This window comes from Homo sapiens, chromosome 16 (assembly GCF_000001405.40).
Source record: "Homo sapiens chromosome 16, GRCh38.p14 Primary Assembly".
In the NCBI taxonomy this organism is placed as follows: Eukaryota; Metazoa; Chordata; class Mammalia; order Primates; family Hominidae; genus Homo; species Homo sapiens.
The window spans coordinates 25,029,284-25,051,799 of record NC_000016.10 but is presented as its reverse complement, the minus strand read 5'-3'; the positions used below and the strand labels follow the sequence as shown (position 1 = coordinate 25,051,799).

General features: G+C 45.1%; 1 pseudogene across 1 annotated transcript, besides 2 other annotated features; it reads right to left on the bottom strand.

Moving 5' to 3' along the window:
- Positions 1,978-2,272: a silencer, noted in NCBI's record as "tiled region #2109; HepG2 Repressive DNase matched - State 3:PromF, and K562 Repressive non-DNase unmatched - State 2:TssF". NCBI's record gives its function as "represses a minimal TATA promoter and a strong SV40 promoter by Sharpr-MPRA in HepG2 and K562 cells {active_cell/tissue: HepG2 | K562}" and the evidence as "EXISTENCE:reporter gene assay evidence [ECO:0000049][PMID:27701403]".
- Positions 19,023-20,059, bottom strand: LCMT1P1 (LCMT1 pseudogene 1; annotated as a pseudogene). The gene has a single exon (NR_038379.1). The product of NR_038379.1 is annotated as an LCMT1 pseudogene 1 (transcript).
- Positions 20,154-20,333: an enhancer, noted in NCBI's record as "active region_10602". NCBI's record gives its function as "activates an Ori minimal core promoter by ATAC-STARR-seq in GM12878 lymphoblastoid cells {active_cell/tissue: GM12878}" and the evidence as "EXISTENCE:reporter gene assay evidence [ECO:0000049][PMID:35858748]".

Here is a 22,516-nt window from a genome sequence, read left to right as displayed (position 1 = left end):
ATATTTTCTGCTAGCACAATGCTGTAATAAATATCTATTAACATGTAAAACATCTGTGTACCACCCAAAACCATCTCACATTCCTCCCACGGGAAACACTGATCTGGTCCAACCACCTACTCATTCAAGAAGCATTTACTGACTGAGTCCTATCTCCAAGAGCTCAATTGGAACAATGGGTCCTTCTGAAAGGTGTGAAATCCCCTCCAATAGCCATTTCCTCATCTGAGGCTTCAGGGAATGAGACGGGGCCTCCCCATTCACCCAGCTTATAAGGATCAAGCTGGAGCCTCATTTACTTCTTTAAGTGACACCGTGTGCTTACTATGTGCCAGGCATTATTCCAAATGCTTGACAAATATGAACACACACAAACCTCGTAGGACCCTACAAGGCAGACTCAGCTTTATAGATCTAGGTTGAGGCAGTTTCCTCAGCTGCGGAACTTAATTCTATTAACTAGGTAACTGAAGGTTTAATGTATGTTTTCCTTCCTTTTTTTTCTTTTCTTTTCTTTTCTTTTCTTTTTTTTTTTTTTTTTTGAGACAGGATCTCACTGTGTTGCCCAGGCTAGAGTGCAGTGGTGTGATCACAGCTCACTGCACCCTCAACCTCCCTGGGCTCAGGTGTCTCTCCCACCTCAGCCTCCCAAGTAGCTGGGACTACAGGCACACACCACCACACCCAGCTAATTTTTGTATTTTTTGTAGAGATGGGGTTTCATCTTGTTGCCCAGGCTGGTGTTGAATCCATCCACTGCCGCTTCCCAAAGTGCTGGGATTAGAGACGTGAGCCATAATGTGGGTTTTGAAACATACCCACCTGGATTTAGATGTTCCTACCCCTGAACATTTGTTTTATCCCTCATAACACTTGAGTTGTTTAAATGATATGCGTATGTGTACGTGTGTGTATCTGTTTGTGCGCATAAAGTCATGTGTTGCTTAACAATGGGGATGCATTCTGAGAAATGCATTCTTAGGTGATTTCGTTGTACAGACAGCACAGAGAGCACTTACGGAAACCTAGATGGTACAGCCCACTACACACCCAGGCTACATGGTATAGCCTATTGCTCCTGGGCTACAAATCTCTACAGCACATTACTGTATTGAATAATGAAGGCAACTGTAACACAATGTTAAGTATTTGTGTATCTAAACACAGCTAAACATAGAAAAAGTACACTACAAATACAGTATAAAAGGCTAAAAATGATCCACCTCTATAGGACACCTGCACTGAATGGAGTTTACAGGGCTGGAAGTTGCCCTGGGTGAGTCAGTGAGTGAGGGGTGAGTGAGTGTGAAGACGCAGGACATTACACTGTGTAAACTTTAAAAGCAGTGTATGCTAGCCAGGCACAGTGGCTCACGCCTGTAATCTCAGGACTTTGGGAGGCTGAGGTGGGCAGATCACAAGGTCAGGAGTTCGAGACCTTCCTGGACAACATGGTGAAACCCCGTCTCTTCTAAAAACACAAAAAATTAGCCAGGCATGGTGGCACATGCCTGTAATCCCAGCTACTCAGGAGGCTGAGGCAGAAGAATCGCTTGAACCTGGAAGGTGGAGGTTGCAGTGAACTAAGATCGTGCCACTACACTCCAGACTCTGTCTCAAAAAAAGAAAAAAAAAAGAAAAAAAAAACTAAGACACAATCACATACATTATCCTAGGCCTACACAGAGTCAGCACCATCAATATCACTCTCCACCACCTCTACATCTTGTTCCCCTGGAAGGTCTCCAGGGGCAATAACATGAATGGAGCTGACATCTCCCAAGATAATGATTTCTTCTTCTGGAATATTTCCTGAAGGACCTGCCTGAGGGCTTTTACAGTTAACTTTTTGTTAATAAGTAGTTGCTCTGGGTGAGTCAGCAAGTTGTTATTCTAAAATAACAATAAAAAGTACAGCATAGTAAATACATAAACCGTTAACACAGTTTTTTATCATGATCAAGTTTCATGTATTGTACATAATTGTATGTGTTACACTTTTATAGGACAGGCTGCACGGTAGGTTTGTTTACACCAGCATCCACATAAGCTCATGAGTGATGTACCGTGCTAAGACATTAGGACAGCTACGTCACTAGGTGATAAGATAATAGAGCTGAAAAATTCCCGTGGGACCGCCACCACCATATATGCGGGCAGCTGTTACCCGAAGGCATCACTGTACATGTATTTGAGATTGCAAAATTCAACTATGTTCAGCATTAAAATCTCAGATTTAGAATTTCAACTGCATGCTGCTTGTGGTCTGTAAGATATGGCACTACCTCCAACTTTAATTCTATTGTTCTTTTATACCTTTTAGTTTCATTTTTAGTTTCTATTTCCTGTTGGTTTTATTATTGGTTTATAAACGGAAGGCAGGAAGCAAAATCTTTTTTTTTTTTTTTTTTTTTTGAGACAGACTCTCATTCTGTCGCCCAGGCTGGAGTGCAGTGGCATGATCTTGGCTCACTGCAACCTCCATCTCCGGGGTTCAACTGATGCTCGTGCCTCAGCCTCCCGAGTAGCTGGGATTACAGGCACCCACCACCATGCCCGGCTAATTTTTGTACTTTTAGTAGAGACGGGTTTTCACCGTGTTGCCCAGGCTGGTCACAAACTCCTGGCCTCAAGTGATCCGCCCGCCTCAGCCTCCCAAAGTGCTGGGATTACAGGCATGAGTCACCACGCCTGGCCAGGAAGCAAAGTCTTAAGGGCAAAAGACGCTGTACTGAAACAGAGCTAGGCTTCGTCTCCCTTCCTCCTTTCAGGGCTGTTGCTAGTATACAGCTAATGTGCCAGGACTTAAATAGTAGCTGGGATTACAGGCACCCACCACCATGCCCGGCTAATTTTTGTATTTTTAGTAAAGACGGGGTTTCACCGTGTTGCCCAGGCTGGTCACGAACTCCCGACCTCAAGTGATCCGCCCGCCTCAGCCTCTCAAAGTGCTGGGATTACAGGCATGAGTCACCACGCCTGGCCAGGAAGCAGTCTTAAGGGCAAAAGACGCTGTACTGAAACAGAGCTAGGCTTCGTCTCCCTTCCTCCTTTCAGGTCTGTGGCTAGTATATAGTTAATGTGCCAGGACTTAAATGCTGAGTCACCTAAAAAGCTGAGCCTCAATCCTCAATAACCAGGAAGACTCATATAGGCTGCAATTCCCTTCCAGAGGAGACTGCCCGTGTTGCCTTTTGCTTTCATCTAATGTCTCTTTACTTTACAAAGAATAATATGATCTAAAATCTGTCTCTGTTGTAAGCAGTCACTGAATATTGGGCAAAGCATAAATGGCAAAGGGAGCAACATTCACACGAAGGTAAAAGAAATGGGGAAACCCAATCAGAAAATTCTCTTGGATCAATGTTCTGTATCTAACTCAACAAAAAGCCAGTAAATACAGAATATCATGCAAGATGCCACAGACCTGAGTAATACCAAAGTACTTTGGGAAAAGAATAAAACCCTTACCACGTATTGCAAATATTATATGGTTTGCCTGTACATTTTCTTAATGTATTTATTTTTCCTTTGTAGTAAGTGCATTTTGTGTTCTACTCACAAAATATCTGCCCACCCCATGGTTGCAAAGATATTCTCCCATGTTTTCATGTGTAAGATTTACGATTCTAGCTTTTATGTTTAGGTTTATGAACAATTACCAACTAATTTGTGTGTATGGCATGAGATGGGGTGAAGGTTAATTTCTTTCCTCATGTGAATATCCAGTTGATCTAGAATTATTCATTAAAAATAATTTCCTGGCTGGGCAGTGGCTCACACCTACAATCCCAATACTTTGGGAGGCTGAGGTGTGAGTACTGCTTGAGCCCAGGAGTTCGAGACCAACCTGGGCAACACAGTGAGACCCTGTCTCTACAAACAAAAAACAACAAAACATTAGCTGGACATGGAAGTACACACCTGCATTCCCAGCTACTTGGGAGGCTGAGGTGGGAGGATCACTTGAGCTCAGGAGGCTGGGGCTGCAGTGAGCCATGATCATACCACTGCATTCCATCTTGGGCGACAGAGGAAGACCCTCTCTTAAAAAAAAAAAAAAGAAATTAAATGACTTTCCTTCCTTCCACCAGAAAATTGACTTACTCGCTCTGGGCAAAAATCAACTGACAGTACGTATGCAGGTCTATTTCTGGACTCAGTTTCACTGATATATTTGTCTATTGTGATGTCAAGACCAATGTTTTGATTAGTGTAGCTTTATAGTAAGTCTTAAAATTAAGTGGTATAAAAAATTAGCAGTTTAAGTTCTCCAACTTTGCTCTTTTTTTTTTTTTTTTGCTATTCTAGATATTTTGCATTTCCATATAAATTTTAGAATCAACTTGTTAGTTTCTTCAAAAAAAAAAACAAATAGGATTTTAACTGGGATTGCATTGACTCCATAGATCAATTTGGGGAGAACAGACATCTTAATATCAGGTCTTCTAATATATGAACAAAGTAACCTCTTCCTTATTTAAGTATTTATTAATTTCTCTCACCAATATTTTAGTGAGAGAGTAAAAGTATTCTCTCACAATACTTTTCTGGTAAAGGTGTTTTCATGTCTTTCATTAGAGTTATTCTAATGATTTTTGATGCTACTGTTTTTATGCTGTTTTTCCTTTTTTCTTTTTTTGGGACAGGATCTCTCTGTCACCCAGGCTGGAGTGCAGTGGTATGATCACAGATCACTGCAGCTTCAACCCTCCCAGTCTCAAGCTATCCTCTCACCTCAGCCTCCCAAGTAGCTGTGACTACAGGTACTCGCCACCATACCCAGCTAATTTGGTTCACTTTCTTGTAGAGACAAGGTCTCACTATGTTGCCTATGTTGCTCAAAGTCCTGGGCTCAAGGGATCCTCCCACCTTGGCCTCCCAAAGTGCTGGGATTACAGGTATGAGCCACCGTGCCTGGCCTGATGCTATTGCAAATGGTATTTTACATTTTCATATATATATATGTTTCATGTATATATGTGTGTGTGTGTGTATTTACAACATATATATATCTGATAAAAATATTCCAGGCTGGGCGCAGTGGCTCATGCCTGTAATCCCAGCACTTTGGGAGGCCGAGGTGGGAGGATCGCCTGAGGTCAGGAGTTCAAGACCAGCCTGGCCAACATAGTGAAACCCCGTCTCTACTAAAAATAGAAAAATTAGCCGAGTGTGATGGTGCATGCCTATAGTCCCAACTACTTGGGAGGCTGAGGCAGGAGAATTGCTTGAGCCTGGGAGGCTGAGGTTGTAGTGAGCCGAGATTGCACCACTGCACTCCAGCCTGGGTGACAGAGTGGGACTCCATCTCAAAAAAAAAAAAAATTCCTATCCAGAATATATAATACACTCCAACAAATATAAAACAACAGTATCACCAACAAAAATGTGCAAAACAGACAGTTCACAAAAGATGACATGGGAATGGCCAATAAGTACATGAAAAAGCGCTTATTAGTCGCCAGGGAAATATGACTTAAAACCATGAGATGCTATTTCACACCCACGGACAATACAGAACGTTAACAAGGATATGGAGAAACTGCAAGTTCTGCTATGTAGCTGGTGGGAAGTGTCAACTGATAAATCACTTTGGATATTAGTGTGGTAGTTACATATGTCCCCACCCTATGACTAAGCACTTCCACTCCTAAACATTTATCTAAGAGAAATAAATTAAGAATGTTCATTGCAGCCAATTTACACTGGTCCAAAACTGGACACAACCCAAATGTTCATCAAAAGGTGAATGGATGAACAAATCCTATATTCACACAACTCAAAAAGGAGCAAATGACTTTCCAATGGCAAAGACTGTCTCCTTGACCAAACTCTAGCCAGCTCCTCTGACCCCTCTTCTCAACTAGGCCTTAACCTTGGCCTATAAAGACTTGAGCAAGGTTGGGCATGGTGGCCCGTGCCTGTAATCCCAGCACTTTGAGAGACCGAGGCAGGAGTGTCACTTGAGCCCAGGAGTTCTAGACTGGCCTAGGCAACAGAGACAGGCCCCAACTCTACAAAAAGTTTAAAAATTAGCAGAACGTGGTGGTGCATGCCTGTAGTCCCAGCTACTAGGGAGGCTGAGGCAGGAGGATCACTTGGGTTTGGGGAGGTCAGCACTGCAGTGAGCTGTGATCACATCACATCACTGCACTCCAGCCTGGGTGACAGAGCAAGTCACAAAAAAACAAAACAAAAACAAAAACAAAAACAAAAACAAAAAAACAAAATCAAAAAAGCCAATAAATAAACAAAAATCAGGCTGGACACGGTGGCTCACACCTGTAATCCCAGCACTTTGGGAGGCCAAGGCAGGCTGATCACCTGAGGTCAGGAGTTTGAAACCAGCCTGGCTAACATTGCAAAACCCTGTCTCTATTAAAAATATGAAAATTAGCCGGGTTTGGTGGCACAAGCCTGTAATCCCAGCTACTTGGGAGGCTGAGGCAGGAGAATCACATGAACCCAGGAGGCAGAGGTTGCAGTGAGCCGAGATCACACCACTGCACTCTAGCCTGGGTGACAGAGTGAGACTCTGTCTCAAAAAAAAAAAAAAAAAAAGACTTGAGCAAACACTAACATAGTTTCTTTTTGTTGTTATTTAAACAAATTGTTGGCTGGGTGCCATGGCTCACGCCTGTAATTCCAGTACTTTGGGAGGCCGAAGCAGGCGATTACTTGAGGTAAGGAGATCGAGACCAGCCTGGCGAACATGATGAAACCCCATCTCTACTAAAAATACAAGAATTAGCCACAAATTACAGGTGTGGTGGCTCACACCTGTAATCTCAGATACTCAGGAGGCTGAGGCATGAGAATCACTTGAACCCGGGAGGAAGAGGTTGCGGTGAGCCGAGATCGTGCCACTGTACTCCAGCCTGGGTGAACCAGTGAGACTCCATCTCAAAAATATAAAAATAATTATTTATTTTGTAGAGAGGGAGGTATTACTATGTCACCCAGGCTTGTCTCGAACTCCTGGGCTCCAGTGATCCATCCTCCCACCTTGGCCTCCCAAAGTGCTGGGAGCCACCGCACCTGGCCTTTTTTGTTTGTTTGTTTTTTGTTTTTGTTTTTGTTTTGAGACAGAGTCTTGCTCTATTGCCCAGGCTGGAGTGCAGCAGTATGATCTCAGCCCACTACAACCTCCACCTCCCAAGTTTAAGCGATTCTCCTGCCTCAGCCTCCTGAGTAGCTGGAACTACAGGCGTGTGCCACTACATCTGGCTAAGTTTTGTATTTTTAGTAGAGATGGGGTTTTGCCACATTGGCCAGGCTGGTCTCGAACTCCTGACCTCAAGCAATCCACCCGCCTTGGTCTCCCAAAGTGCTGGGATTACAGGCGTGAGCCACGGCGCCCAGCCTAAAAACATGGTTTCCAATAGTTCAAGGTTGCATCCTTTGGATGACCCAGCCCCCAGTAAGCTGCCTGTCTGAGAAAACTCAAAGCTGCCTATAGAATTTACTGTGTTTCAGCCAACACTACTGAAGACAGGGCCTGCCTCCCACTCTCTGTGGGAGGGCAGAAGCCTAACTTCCTTAATGGCCAGTTACCAAACCCAGATGGGTTTCACAGGACCAACCCTCCCTCCCCACTTTTTGTGATTTTTCACTTCCCTGACTCTACTGAGCCCCTTTCTCATTCTCCTTGTAAAACACCCTGTCCTGTCTATGCAAATTGAAGTTAAGCTCAGTTCACACTGGATTGAATTTGGCTAAACTGCAATCGTTATTACTGATGAAAATTGGTTCTTACCACTTCAGTGTCCAGCTTTATCTTTGACAACACACACAATACAGATGAATCTCGAAGAACATGTTGAATAAAAGACACACAGAGGAATACATTTGTGTGATTCCATTTATATGACATTCAAAAATAGGCAAATCTAATCTATAGTAGACAAAATCAGAAAATGGCTGCAAAGTAGGGTTAGGAAACTAGAAAAAGATAACAAGAGAGGCTGGTTCACGCCTGTAATCCCAGCACCTTGGGAGGCCGAGGCAAGAGGATCGCTGGAGCCCAGGAGTTCAAGAAAAGCCTGGGAAACAAGGCAAGACCCCATCTCTACAAAAAATAAAAATTAGCCAGGCATGATGGCGTGTGCCTATAGTCCTAGCTACTCGGGAGTCTGAGGCGGGAGGATCACTTGAGCCTGGGAGATCCAGGCTGCACTGAGTTGAGATTGTGCCACTGCACTCCAGCTTAGGAGACAGAGGGAGACCCTGTATCAAAAAAACAAAACAAAAACAAAAGTAAAAATTGTCAGATTTTGCATCAAAGATTTACAATTTCTGGAGCCGGGTATGGTGGCAAGTACCTGTATCCCAGCTACTCAGGAGGTGGAGGCAGGAGGATCACTTGAGTCCAGGGGAGAACCAGTCTGGACAACACAGTGAAACCTCAACTCAAAAAACAGATTCATAGTTTCTGACTTATGAAGTGTACTGTACAAGTTAAACCAACAGACAAGCATCATCTTGACAAAAAAATACTACAACAAATAGTTAGCCAAGGATACTATGCCAACATAAAAACTTCCTACAAATCGGTAATAAAAATATAAATAACCAAACAAGAAAAAGACATACAGCCCAACAGGAAATGATATGAAGAGAAGGTTCACATAAAAAATATCAGGCTGGTGTGGTGGCTCATGCCTGTAATCACAGCACCTGGGGAGGCTGAGAAGGGAGGATCATCTGAGCTCAAGAGTTTGAGACCCACCTAGGCAAAATGGTGATACCCTGCCTCTACAAAAAATTTAAAAATAAGCCAGGCATGGGGGCCTGTGCCTGTAGTCCCAGCTACTCAGGAGGCTGAGACAAAATGATCACTTGGGCCTAGGAAGTTGAGGCTGCAGTGAGCGGTGATCATGTCACTGCACTCTAGCCTGGGCAACAGAACAAGACCCTGTCTCAAAAAAAAAAAAAAAAAATCGATGACAGTGAGCATACTGAAAATGGTCAGCCTTTGGTGAGGTTGTGGAGAAAAGGGAACACTTATACACACCGTTGGTGGGAGTGTAAATTAGTTCAACCTTGTCGAAAGCAGTGTGTGGCGATTACTCAAATTCCTAAAGACAGAAATACCATTCAATCTAGAAATCCCATTAGTGGGTATATACTCCCCAAAACATAAATCATTCTACCATTAAGACGCATGCATGTGTGTGTTCATTGCAGCACTATTCACCATGTAAAATCATGAAATCAACCTAAATGCTAATCAGTGACAGACTAGATAAAGACAATGTGGTACATATACACCATAGAATACTATGCAGCCATAAAAAAGAACAAGATCATGTCCTTTGCAGGGACATGGATGGAGCTGGAGGCCATTATCCTTAGCAAACTAATGCAAGAACAGAAAAACAAATACTGCATGTTCTCACTTATAAGTGGGAGCTAAATGATGAGAACACATGGACACACAGAGGGGAACAACACACTCTGGGGTCTGCTGGAGGGTGGGATGAGGGAGAGGATCAGAAAAAATAACTAATGGGTACTAGGCTTAGTACCTGTGTGACAAAATCATACAACAAACCCCATGACCCGAATTTACCTATTCAACAAAGCTGTGCATGTACCCCTGAACCTAAAAGTTTTTTGCATTTTTTTTTTTTTAAGACAGAGTCTCGCTCTGTCGCCCAGGCTGGAGTGCAGTGGCACAATCTTGGCTCAGTGCAACCTCTGCCTCCTGGGTTCAAGCGATTCTCCTGCCTCAGCCTCCCAAGTAGCCAGGATTACAGGCGCCTGCCACCACACCTGGCTAATTTTTGTATTTTTAGTAGAGACAGAGTTTCACCACGTTGGCCAGGCTGGTCTCAAACTCCTAACGTCAAGTTATCCACCTGCCTCGGCTTCCCAAAGTGCTTGGATTACAGGCATGAGCCACTACACCCTGCCCTAAAAGTTTTTTTAAAAAATGTTCAGCCTCAAGAGTGATTATAGGATAAAGGGAGATTATTTTCCACCTGCTAGGTGGTAAACAATTAAAGAGATTGAGAATATTCGATACTGGCATCACATTCACTGTGGGTGGGAATGGAAACTGACACAACCTCTTTCAAGGACTACTTTGCAGAAACTTCTTCCCTAAAATCTATTTCATAGCAAAACTCACGCACATGCAAAAATGCTGATCCCAGCACTATTTTTTTTTTTTTTTTGAGACAGGGTCTCACTGTTACACAGGCTAGAGTGCAGTGGTGCAATTATAGCTCATAGCTCATTGCTGCCTTGACCTCCTAGGCTCAAGCGATCCTCCTGCCTCAGTCCCCCATGCAGCTGGGACCACAGGTGCTCATCACCATGCCTAATTTTTTCTTTTTGGCAGAGAAAGGTTCTCACTATGTTGCCCAGGTTAGTCTCAAACTCCTGAGCTCAAGCAATCTTCCTACCTTGGCCTCCCAAAGTGCTAGGATTACAGGCGTGAGCCACAGCATCCAGTCTATTTTTTATTGAGACATGAAGTCTTACTGTGTTGCCCTGCCTGGTCTCCAACTTCTGGACTCAAGCAGTCCTCCCACCTTGACCTCCCAATGTGCTGGGATTACAGGCATGAGCCATCGTGCCCAGCCTTGCACTCTCAACAGCAAAACCAGAGCCACATAAATGATGAACAATAGAAGAATGGCCAAATAAAGTATTAATACTACTATGCTGCAGAACACCCTGTAGCCACTAAAAAGAATAAGGCAGATCTATAGGAAATATGTTTAAATTATTAAGTGGAGGGAAAAGTTATTTTTGTCATTAAAAAAATTAAGCATTTAAGGGAAAAAATGACGTGAGATTGACATTCCAGATCTAATAACATTATCTTTAGCGAATGTTTCCCAAACTTTAATTTGATCCTTAAAAAGAAAAACACAAGCACAACCCCATGATTTATCTGACTTTATTGATGGGCAAGTTTTACAGCTAATTTATGTGCAACAGAATGTTCTAGCTCTGAAGTGGCATGCCTTCTTTGGGCATGAAAAGCAGCACCTGCCTTGAAAATATTTCAGATCACAATCTCGACCTCATTCTCTGGGGCACAGCTAAGAAGATGCGATCTGGGTGCCGGAAAGGCCCTGGGCTAAGCCCTCGGGGAAAAGCTGGTTTTCCCCAGAGGTGACCCTGTGACCTGCTTCTATGTCAAGGGGGAATATTTCTCCTTTCAGTTGAGAAATCAGATTAAGCACCATAATTTTCACAATGAAATTTCAGCCTTATAAGCCCTGGTCTGCTCTCTAGAACACATAGACCATTCAGAACCAATGAAACAGAAAACCAGAATTTTAAGACCTCATCAGGAAATACAATCTTGAACATGTGTGCTCAGTCCCTGTCACTGTGACCAGCTGACAAATATTTATTTGTGCATGTGGCATAAAGGTAGGCATGGTCTGTGCTCGGTATTGTGTCTATTCCAGTGGCAGAGATGAACACTAGGCACTTTCCTATTTATTTATTGTGATGGAATTTTGCTCTTGTTGCTCATGCTGGAGTGCAATGGCGGGATCTCGGCTCACCGCAACCACAACCACCTCCACCTTCCAGGTGCAAGCGATTCTCCCGCCTCAGCCTCCCGCGTAGCTGGGATTACAGGCGCCTGCCACCATGCCCGGCTAATTTTGTATCTTTAGTAGAGATGGGGTTTCTCCATGTTGGTCAGGCTGGTCTTGAACTCCCGACCTCAGGTGATCTGCCCACCTCAGCCTCCCAATGTACTGGGATTATAGGCGTGAGCCACCACTCCCAGCCCACTAGGCACTTTCTAAATCACAACTGGGCCGACGACCACCAAGGAGACTCACAGGTGTTATGAGAACATTCAACAGAAGCTAGGTCTTGTCTATGGGTGTCAGAAAGGACTCTCGGAGTGAGCCACGTGTCAGCTAAGCCAAAAACCTTGTAGTCATCTTGGCCGCCTCAGTCTCGCCCCATATCCACTCTGCCAGAACATTCTATCAGCTCTACCTTCAAAATGCACCCAGAATCTGACATATTCTCAGCACCTCCATCACCACTATCCTGATCCAAGCACCAGCCTGTCTCACAGGGGACACCCCCACAGCCAACTAACTGATTCTGCCTCCGTCCTTACCCCTGCAGTCTGCTCCTAACAGAGGCTGAAGTGATGCTGTTAAAACCAAGTCAGGCCACCTCACTCTTCAGTTCAGCCTGGCCAACATGGTGAAACCCCGTCTCTACCAAAAATACAAAAATTAGCTGGGCATGGTGGCACGTGCCTTTAATCCCAGCTACTTGGGAGGCTGAGGTTCGAGAATCACTTGAACCTGGGAGACAGAGATTGCAGTGAGCGGAGATCACGCCACTGCACTCCAGCCTTGGCGACAAAGCAAGACTCTGACTCAAAAAAATAAAAAAATAAAAATAATAAAATAAGAAGTCTGGGTAACTGATTGCACAAGGCAGATATTAAAAGGGCAGTTCCTGGGCAGGCACAGTGGCTCATGCCTGTAATCCCAGCACTCTGAGAGGCTGAGGCAGGTGGATCATTTCAGTCCATGAGTTCAAGACCAGTCTGTGCAACACGGCAAAACTCTGCCTCTAGAAAAAAATACAAAAATTAGCCAGGTGAGGTGGCACACACCTGTGGAAGTTGAGGTGGGAGGACCGCTTGAGCCCAGGATCGAGGCTGCTATGATTGTACCACTGCACTCCAGCCTGGGTGACACAGCAAGGCCCTGTCTCAAAAAAAAAAAAAAAAGGAGTTCCAAGATGACACCTACCTTTTAAACTTGTGAACTAAATGAACTATAGAACCATTCACTAAGTCGGGGCTTGGACAGGGCAGTAGAACATGGGGAAGTGATCGTAAGCATAGTTTTGCAAATAGTAAATGTGAGATAATTCCGAGACATCCAAGTGGAGATTTCAAGTTGGTAGCCAGATACCAGGCTTGAGGGACCAGATCATGTAAGGCACAGTATGTATGTCATGTAACAAAGTACAGATTTTTAACTGGTAGGTGATAGGGAACTGAAAGGTTTTAGTAAGTGACAAGATAAGATTTGTGATTCTGAAAAATCACCCTGGCCACAGGTGGAATATGGATGTGTTGCAGATCAGATGAGCAAAGACAGCAGGTGCAGGGGCTGTGGGTGTGGGAAAGAAAAGGAGGCTTCCCCTTTGTCACCAACACTTCTCCACACAGCTGCTGGGGATTTTTCGAATACAAATCCAGATCATGTCAGTTCCCCACTTAAAATCCCTCAGGATAAAACCTGTACTCCTTGTGACCTTCCACGGTTCACTGTGTGACAACCTGTCCAGAACTCTCTCCTGGTACCCACTCCCCACCCTGTGTCAGGTTCGCCTAACACACAGTTCCGCTTCAGGCCCCATGCCTCTGCTCATGCTGTTGTCTTCTGCCTGGCAAGCCCTCGCTTTGGCACCCACAGTGAGGCCGTGTTGTTTTCCTGTTGGATATAATCTTGCAGAGCTGCTCTGCCTATGGAGTAGCCACCCTTTTATTCCTTTTCTTTTTTTTTCTTTAGACAGAGTCTTGCTCTGTCACCAGGCTGAAGTGCAGTGGCATGATCTCAGCTCACTGCAACCTCCATCTCCTGGGTTCAAGCAATTCTCTTTCCTTAGCCCCCTGCGTAGCTGGGACTACAGGCACGCGTCACCACGCCCAGCTAATTTTTGTATTTTTAGTAGAGACGGGGTTTCACCATGTTGGCCAGGATGGTCTTGATCTCTTGACCTTGGGATCCGCTCACGTCGGCCTCCCAAAGTACTGGGATTACAGACATGAGCCACCACACCCGTCCTATTCCTTTACTTTCTTAGTAAACTTGCCTCCACTCTAAACCCTCCCCACCAACACACACACACAAACACACAAAGTCACACAGAACACCCACACAAGGGCCTGCAACAGTGATGACGAGAGACTAAACAAGACCACATCATCATTCTGTGTAAGCACAGACAAAAACAAGGTCACCGTGCCACCACGGAATACCAGACATCCCTTTCTCCCAGCTGATCAGTGACGTTGCTTCTTTACACATTACAGCTTTAGCCCTACTCCAGGCAAACCTCCTTCTAGAAAAGATACAGCTACTGGGTGATAGAATTTTTTTACGTCCTATCAGCACTCAATCCAGAGCAAATCCCTGGACCCTCCCCCAAATCACCCAGCCAAAGCCCAGATCCTAAAGGTCTAACATCCTCTTACTGATAGGCTCCTCATGGTGTGAGTCTTCCCTCCTTGCAACAAGTAATAAACCAAACTTGCTTAACTACAAAGTGTTTCATGTGGTCTTTACTGGAGGACATTCACAACTGTAACAGTAAAAAATGGATGGTTAAGTTTCTTGGGGGAGGTTCATGGAGTTTCTATCTGAGGGCTCCCATTTTGTATGTTGAGCAATAGCTGACATTATCTTGAGAATGAAGAAGGGGTGGGGTAAGTCAGAAGTTTGAAGACAGTGGAAAATGTCTGAATTAAGTATCCTGTAGAAAGGGAGAGTGAGTGGAATGAGAAACATACTACAATGACCAGGTTCTGTTAAGGGCACAGGTGCGATTGGGTGACATGAATTCACAGTGGCACCAAGCCACCTTGCTGTGTGATTTCTACCACCTATATTCAAGGCAAAAATGGACAGTGTGGTTTAGCCAGGGTTCTGGCTCTACCAGGACCAAAAGGTAAGGGAGATATAAAGGCACTGCCAAGAGAATTACTGAGGGTTGGAGGATGAGCTCTAAGATCAATTGAGAAGTGATAGGAGAGGGAGTATCTAAAGGATACAGAAAACCAACAAGATGCTAAGGAGAAATGGGCACAGCATGGGAAATGGGAAAGAACTGGTCAAGCAACTTGGAAAAAGGGGTCAGGGTTGGAGAGTGTTGCACTCTCATCTGTGAGGCAGTGCAGCATCAGGATAAAAACATAGGGTGTCAAGGAAAAAAGGGGTGACAGAATCAGATGGGGAGAGGTTATTGCTGCAGACCAGGCCTTCAAGAAAGTGAGTGCCCCATGCACAGGCTCCATGTGGACACTGAGGTCACCTAGGGTGATGTCATGAATTGCGGTAGAAGACACTCTGGAGCAGGCACCCCAGTCTTCCATGAATGAGAGGAATGACCAGGAGAAGGCGAACAACAGCAACCAGGAGGGCTCCCGCTGGGCAGGAAGGATCTCCATGGAATGAGATGGGGGGAAACACACAGGAGGACACAAAGCTCAAACCCCTGATCCTGAGATACACAAGGGATGAGAAGGAGGAGCCACAGGAGAGGGCTTCAAGAACGGGATATCCCTGGGGAAGGGTCAGGGTGAAGGCAAAGGGAGGGAGGGAATGGCTAACGAGAGGCAGAGGAAACAGAGGCGGCTACTGATTATGGAGTGGTAATTGCAGAGGACACAGTGAGGGGGTAGTGGGATGGTTGGGTCACAGGTAAACAAAAGTGGGGAGAAAAAACTCTGGGGCACAGCATGATGGACATCATAAGGAGAGGAGAGGAGAGGAGGGTGGGGAAGTCGGCTACCACGGGAAGTGCTCAATTGTATCTGCTGAGTCACATGGATATAAACCTAATGTATCTAATCAGAAAAACCCGACCTCATCGCATAAGTCCATGATGATGATGATGATGTTGATGATAATAGTTTGATGACAATGGGGGTGGTGATGACAGTAACTACCAATTCTGAACACCTCCTATATATGCCAAGCACTGCTGGAAGCACTGACATTTCACCTTGGCAGCAACCCTCTGAGACAGGTAACATCCTCCTTATCCCCAGAAGGACTCTGTACCAAAGGGGGAAGCAAACTAAACAGAAATATCAGTGCCCTCGGAGGCTGACTGGCTTTTAAAATGTTATCTTAGGGATTTTATGGTTGTAACTCACTCAGGACAGCAGGAACCAGCCTGACTCATATTTACTGCATATGCAGCAACTTCAACAAATAATATTCGGCCTGGAGGAAAATGAAAACATGCAATCATTTACTGGGGGCTTCGCTTTGGGCCAGATCCTGTGCTAACTGCTCTGCATCAATTATCTCATTTAACCCTCACACCCGAAAAGCAGGTTACCCTAATAATCCCCATTTTAAAGATTAAGAAACTGAGGCAGAAAGAGTAATTTGCCCATGATTCGTGCAAGCAATCCTTATTTAACATCATGACTTTTGGACAAGATCTAAAGGTTCAATACATTACAGAACCTGAAAGACACAGAGTCCTGCAGAATGTCTTAAACCATTAACTTCTCACAATCTCTTTGCATGTTTTTTTCAGGCGAGGCAAAATGTAGTGCAAAAAAAAAAAAAAAAAAGCCAGACTCGGTGGCTCATGCCTGTAATCCCAGCACTTTGGGAGGCCAAGGCAGATGGATCACTTGAGGTCAGGAGTTCCCAACCAGCCTGCCCAATATGGTGAAACCCCTTCTCTACTAAAAACACAAAAATTAGCCAGGCGTGGTGGCAGGCGCCTGTAATCCCACCTACTCGGGAGGCTGAGGCAGAGGAATTGCTTGAACCCGGGAGGCAGAGGTTGCAATGAGCTGAGATTGCACGACTGCACACCAGCCTGGGTGGCAAAGCAAGACTGTGTCTCAAAAAAAAAAAAAAAAAAAAAGCTGTTATGAAATGCACCAAGATGGTGAACACCTGTGGTCTTTATTATCCTGGACTTGACCCAGAAGATTCTGATTCATCGGGCTACAATAGGCCCTGAACATCTGAATTTTTCTTAGGTCTCCCAGGCTATGCTGCTCAGGTTAGGAAGGGCTGCTTTATATTCTCTGCAGCTCCAAACCAAACCTTACCCTATTATGTTTAGATGTTTGTAGATCCAGAGGGCATCAGAAACTGATACAGAGAAAACCTGAAATTATCAAAACTATCCAACAGAAAGTCAATGAAAGGCATGCTCTATTTCTCTGTACCTTTCTTTCTGTTTGAACTATTTTATAACTTACTATTGTTATGTAAGCAAGTTTGCAAAAAATATTACCAACAAATATGCTAACCCTAATGTGCTACTAAACAGAATTTTATTTCTGACAATTTTGATGTCACTTCAGATTATCTTAGCAAATAGCAGTTAATATGAGAAAAATTATTATCATTATTATTATTATATATATATTTTGGAGACAGGGTCTCACTCTATCCCCCCGGCTGGAGTGCAGTGGCACGATCTCGATTCACTGCAATCTCCGTCTCCAGGGCACAAGCGATTCTCAAGTCTCAGCCTCCCAAATAGCTGGGATCACAGGCGAGCACCACCATGCATGGCTAATTTTTGTATTTTTAGTACAGACAGCATTTTACCATGTTGGCTAGGCTGGTCTCAAACTCCTGGCTTCAAGTAATCCACCTGTCTCGGCCTCCCAAAGTGCTGGGATTACAGGTATGTGCCACTGCACGTGGCCAGGAAAAAAATTATTTCTAATTAATCAGTGGTACAGGCCAGATGCGGTAGCTCATGCCTGTAGTCCCAGCACTTTGGGAGGCTGACACAGGAGGATAGCTTGGGCCCAGGAGTTTGAGACCAACCTGGGCAACAAAGTGAGGCTCCGTCTCAACAAAAAAATTGAAAAATTAGCCAGGCGTGGTGGCATGAGCCAGTAGTCCCAGCTACTTGGAGGGCTAACGCTGAAGGATCACTTGAGTCCAGGAGGTTGAGGCTGCAGTGAGTCATGATCACGCTACTGCATTCCAGCCTGGCTAAAAGAGCTAAACCCTGTCTCAAAAAATAAATTAATTAATTGATAAAAAATAAACAGTGCTATAGTGTGGCCAAATAACAAATGAAAGCTAGAGATGAGATAAAGCTGATCGTAATCCATTTAAGGTCACAAATTTCACCAGGGACTGCCTTTAATGCTTATGTATTTATCTATTTAATCAACCACTGCCAACAACTACATGCCAAATACTGCTGTAGTGCTATACTAACATTAAATATCATTTAATCTTCACAACCACTTATGAAGTACGTAGTATCATCATCCTCATTTTACAGATCAGAAAACTGAGGCACAGAATGGTTTAGTAACTTCCCCTATTTTTTTTTTTTTTTTTTTTTTTTTTGTGACGGAGTCTCTCTCTGTCTTCCAGGCTGGAGTGCAGTGGCGCGATCTCGGCTCACTGCAAGCTCCGCCTCCCGGGTTCAAGCCATTTTCCTACCTCAGCCTCCCGAGTAGCTGGGACTACAGGCGCCCGCCACCACGCCCGGCTAAATTTTTTTTTTTTTTTTGTATTTTTAGTAGAGACAGGGTTTCACCGTGTTAGCCAGAATGGTCTCGATCTCCTGACCTCGTGATCCGCCCGCCTCGGCCTCCCAAAGTGCTGCGATTACAGGCGTGAGCCACCATGCCCGGCCTGTAACTTCCCCTATTTTACACAGCCAGTGAGTGGCACTAAGTTTGACAGAGTTTGGTTCCAGAATCCATGCTCTGAATGACAACACTTAGTCTCCAGGAACCTACAGAAAGTGCAAGGCTTAATTCAAAACTTTGGTTTTCCCCACTCTATAATCCCTACGTGGCAAGCCTACGTCTCTCGCCTAGAAGGCATTCTTTGAGATCCTCTAACAGTTCGTACTCCTCTCTTGTGTTGTCTGAACACTCTCCCACATTACTATTATTATTATTGTTGTTGTTGTTGTTGTTTTGACACAGAGTTTTGCTCTTGTTGCTCAGGCTGGAGTGCAATGGCGCGGTCTTGGCTCACCGCAACCTCCGCCTCCCGGGTTCAAGCGATTCTCCTGCCTCAGCCTTCTGAGTAGCTGAGATTACAGGCGCCCACAACTATGCTCGGCTGATTTTTGTATTTTTATTAGAGACGAGGTTTCACCATGTTGACCAGGCTGGTCCCAAACTCCTGACCTCAGGTGATCGGCCCACCTCGGCCTTCTAAAGTGCCGGGACTACAGGCATGAGCCACCGCGCCCGGCCTACACCCCTGTTTTTTAAGCCTTTTGCTCTCAGCTTAAATATCACTAAATTACAAACTCTAATGACACCGCGGTATTTCTCAGTGCACAACACCAAATTTTAATTATGTATCTCATGGATAATTATTTCCTGTCAGTCTTTCCCAACTAAACCGTGAGTTCCAGTATGTCTGGCAGCACGTCTGTCTTGTTCTTGGTGTATTCCCATTACTGAATCCCCACCAACCAGCCCAAATAAGGCCCTGGCACAAAGTAAGCTCTCCATTTTTGTAGAATGAATGAGTGAATAAATGGAGGACACTCAAGCCTCATGTTTTCTCTTTCTGACACATACCTGTGCTCCCTACGACCCCACCCTCACCATCACACCCTTAATAGTGGAGACTTAGTGTGGTACTGGCTTTTCAAACAGGTATTATGTGGCCCTAGACAGGTCATTTCCTTCACTGAAAGTCATCGCCTGAGTTTCAGGTGCACAACGGGGATCATACCTAAAAGAGAGAGAACCTCCACCTCTCATCCTCATAATCTACGGAGACAGTAGTTAGGTGCATCATGTTTGTCTTTCTAGCAGCGTTTAGCTCCGAGAACGCCAAGACCCCGTCCGCCTGGTTCAGGGGCCTGCTCCCATCCACAGTACCCAGGCTTGCTCCAAGCCTGGCTCACAGCAGGAGCTCAGAAACGATTCGTTAAATAAATGAAGCCCTGTTCTGTGCATTTCACAGGTGGGAAGCGAGGGTCGTGCGAGGCGGGGGCAGCAACCTGCCAGCCTCCGAGCGTATTCTTCAGATGCAGGCCCGCCTCCCACCTCAGCCCGCGTCCCAGATGCCAGCCCCGAATCCCGCGCCCGACAGGCGCTTCTTGCACAAGGAAGCATCTTCGCAGGTGCAGCCCACGCCCTCGTCGCCCGCGTCGCAATTCCAGGTGGAAAAGCAGGAGGTGAAGGAAGACTCCCTCTGTCTAGTGGCCATGGGCGTGGAGGTTCCGGGGAGCTGTGTCCGCCAGACATGGAAGTGGGGTCGACGGGCGGTAGGGGACGGCGCTAGTCACAGGCAGAAAGCAGGAGAGGAAAGTAGGGCTCCACCTGGCTCAGCTGGCGCGGCTCAGTGACACCCCGGAGGCCGGCTGCCCCAGCAGCCTCTCCGCCTATTGGCTCCTCTGCCTAGTCGCTCATTGGGCAATTATCCCTTCCTCTCAGCCTACAAAGGTACTCATTGGATAAGTTTTTTGGCCCCGCCCACCCAACCCGGAAGTTTGCCGACGGAGAAAGGAAACTAAAAGTCAGTGGCGGAGTACCGCGATGCTTTCTGGGAAGTGTAGTCTTAGGTGCCTGGAGAGGCCACCAGGTTTCTTCTGACTCGTCACGGAATTTTAAGGGCAGAGAATCCAGCCAGAAGCAAATGTCAGCTGTTACGTTCAGTCTGGGCTCGTTGTCACTCAACAGTTTAACAAAATTTTGTTAAGTGCTGTCCATGCCAGGGACTGTGCTAAGAGCTTTAGAGACATAATCGCCTTTGAAATGTAGTAAAGGAAGTAGCGTGTGGAAAAGTAATAGAATGGGAAACCACGTGGCAGTAAAAATCAATGAACTCGAACTCTCAGGTAGCATCAAGGGCTGAATTTCAGAAACGTGATGTTCAGTGAAAGAAGGAAGTCTAACGACACTTTTGTAAAGTTCAAACCAAGTAAAACTAATGTTGTTTAGAGAAACATACATATACGGTAAAATACTGTACAGAAAAGCCAAGACATGAGAAAAAAAAAAAAGTCAGGACATTGATGACCTCTAGGGAGTGGGACGGTAGCATACGAGAGGGTAGGGAGAGGCAGGGAAGGAGCACATAGACACATTCTCAGTTTCTCAGGTGGGAGTGAGTTCACGTGTGTCTGTTTCATTATGATGCATATTCAAGATGCATCTATTTTTACTAGTTTTGTTATAAAATATTTTATAAATAAAAGAAGAACTATGCTACTGTATTCCACTTGATTATCTGTCAGGTGTTGGACACAGGCAATGGGTATACTTTAAGAACTTTGAATCACACCTATTTAAAAAAGCAAAATAGCTCTCTCTCTTCTGCCGCCACGTAAGATGTACCTGCTTCCCCTTCCACCATAACTGTTAAGTTTCCTGAGGCCTCCCCAGCCATGCAGAACTCAACATCCTTGCGACTGGGGGCCATTATCTTAAGTGAAACAACTCAGACACAGAAAGTAAAATATGCATGTTCTCGCTTCCCTGCCTACAAGCTGAGCAGACGCCAGCACCATGCTTCCTGTAAAGCCTGCAGAACCACGAGCCAATGAAACTGCCTTTCTATATAAGTTTTTTTTTTTTAAAGCAAAATAACAGAAACCCAGAATATACACCTTGGGGTGAGATCAGATAGCAAATGCTTGCTTAGTATTCAGTGGAGACACAAGATCTCATTGACAGTCAAGGCAGAAATGACAGTGGGGAATGGCTGAGGTTAGGAAGTTTTGCCAGGGATAGCAGCAATGGGCTGAAATACACCATTTTGTTGGAGCATTCCTCTACCAAAAAGGTAATACAAACCACTGCGCAAGCATTGTCTCCCAGCTTGGCAGTGTCTAAATTCCATGGGTGTTAGTGGATAATGTCAAACAGTAAGTAGCACAAGATGTTAATCCCACAGGTCTGGACGGTGAGACTGAAGGTGACTAGAAGAAGGTGGAGGCAGATGTATTGGCACACCTTTGTTATTGGGTGAGCCTTGATTCAAAACAGCTGGTAATTCAGGGAAATTTGGTTAGTTGGACTCTAGACAAAGTGAACTTACTGGGTGTGGACCACGACACTAGTAGATTGACTGGCATTCTCTGGAGGAGGAGGATGGCTACCCATAGAGCAGGCTGCTGGCCTCCCTTTCCTCATAACCTCTGAGAAGAGTCACATGTGATCTGATGACAAAAAAACCCTGTAACTTGAGGGAATTTGGACAGGGGTGGGGATACCCTTAAAACACCTGGAATCCAGCCAGGCACGGTGGCTTATGCCTGTAATCCCAGCACTTTGGGAGGCCAAGGTGCACGGCTCACCTGAGGTCAAGAGTTCGAGACCAGCCTGGTCAACATGCTGAAACCCCATCTCTACTAAAAATACAAAAATCAGCTAGGTGTGGTGGCGGGTGCCTGTAATCCCAGGTACTCAGGAGACTGAGGCAGGAGAATCACTTGAACCTAGTAGGTGGAGGTTGCAGTGAGCCGAGACCGTGCCATTGGACTCCAGCCTGGGTGACAAGAGCAAAACTCCATCTCAAAAAAGAAGAAGAAGAAGAAGAAGAGGAAGAGGAAGAAGAAAAAGAAGAAGAAGAACCACCTGGAATCCCACTAAATTGAAACATGGTACACTGTCAGCCCAAGTGGCTACACTTCAGGCAGTAAGCACTGAATGGCTATCTTAGTCCATTTTGGCTGCTATAACAAAATATCATAAACTAAGTGACTTATAAACAAAAGAATGGCTGGGCACAGTGGCTAATACCTATAATCCCAGCACTTTGGGAGACTAAGGTGGGAAGATCACTTTAGCTCAGGAATTCAA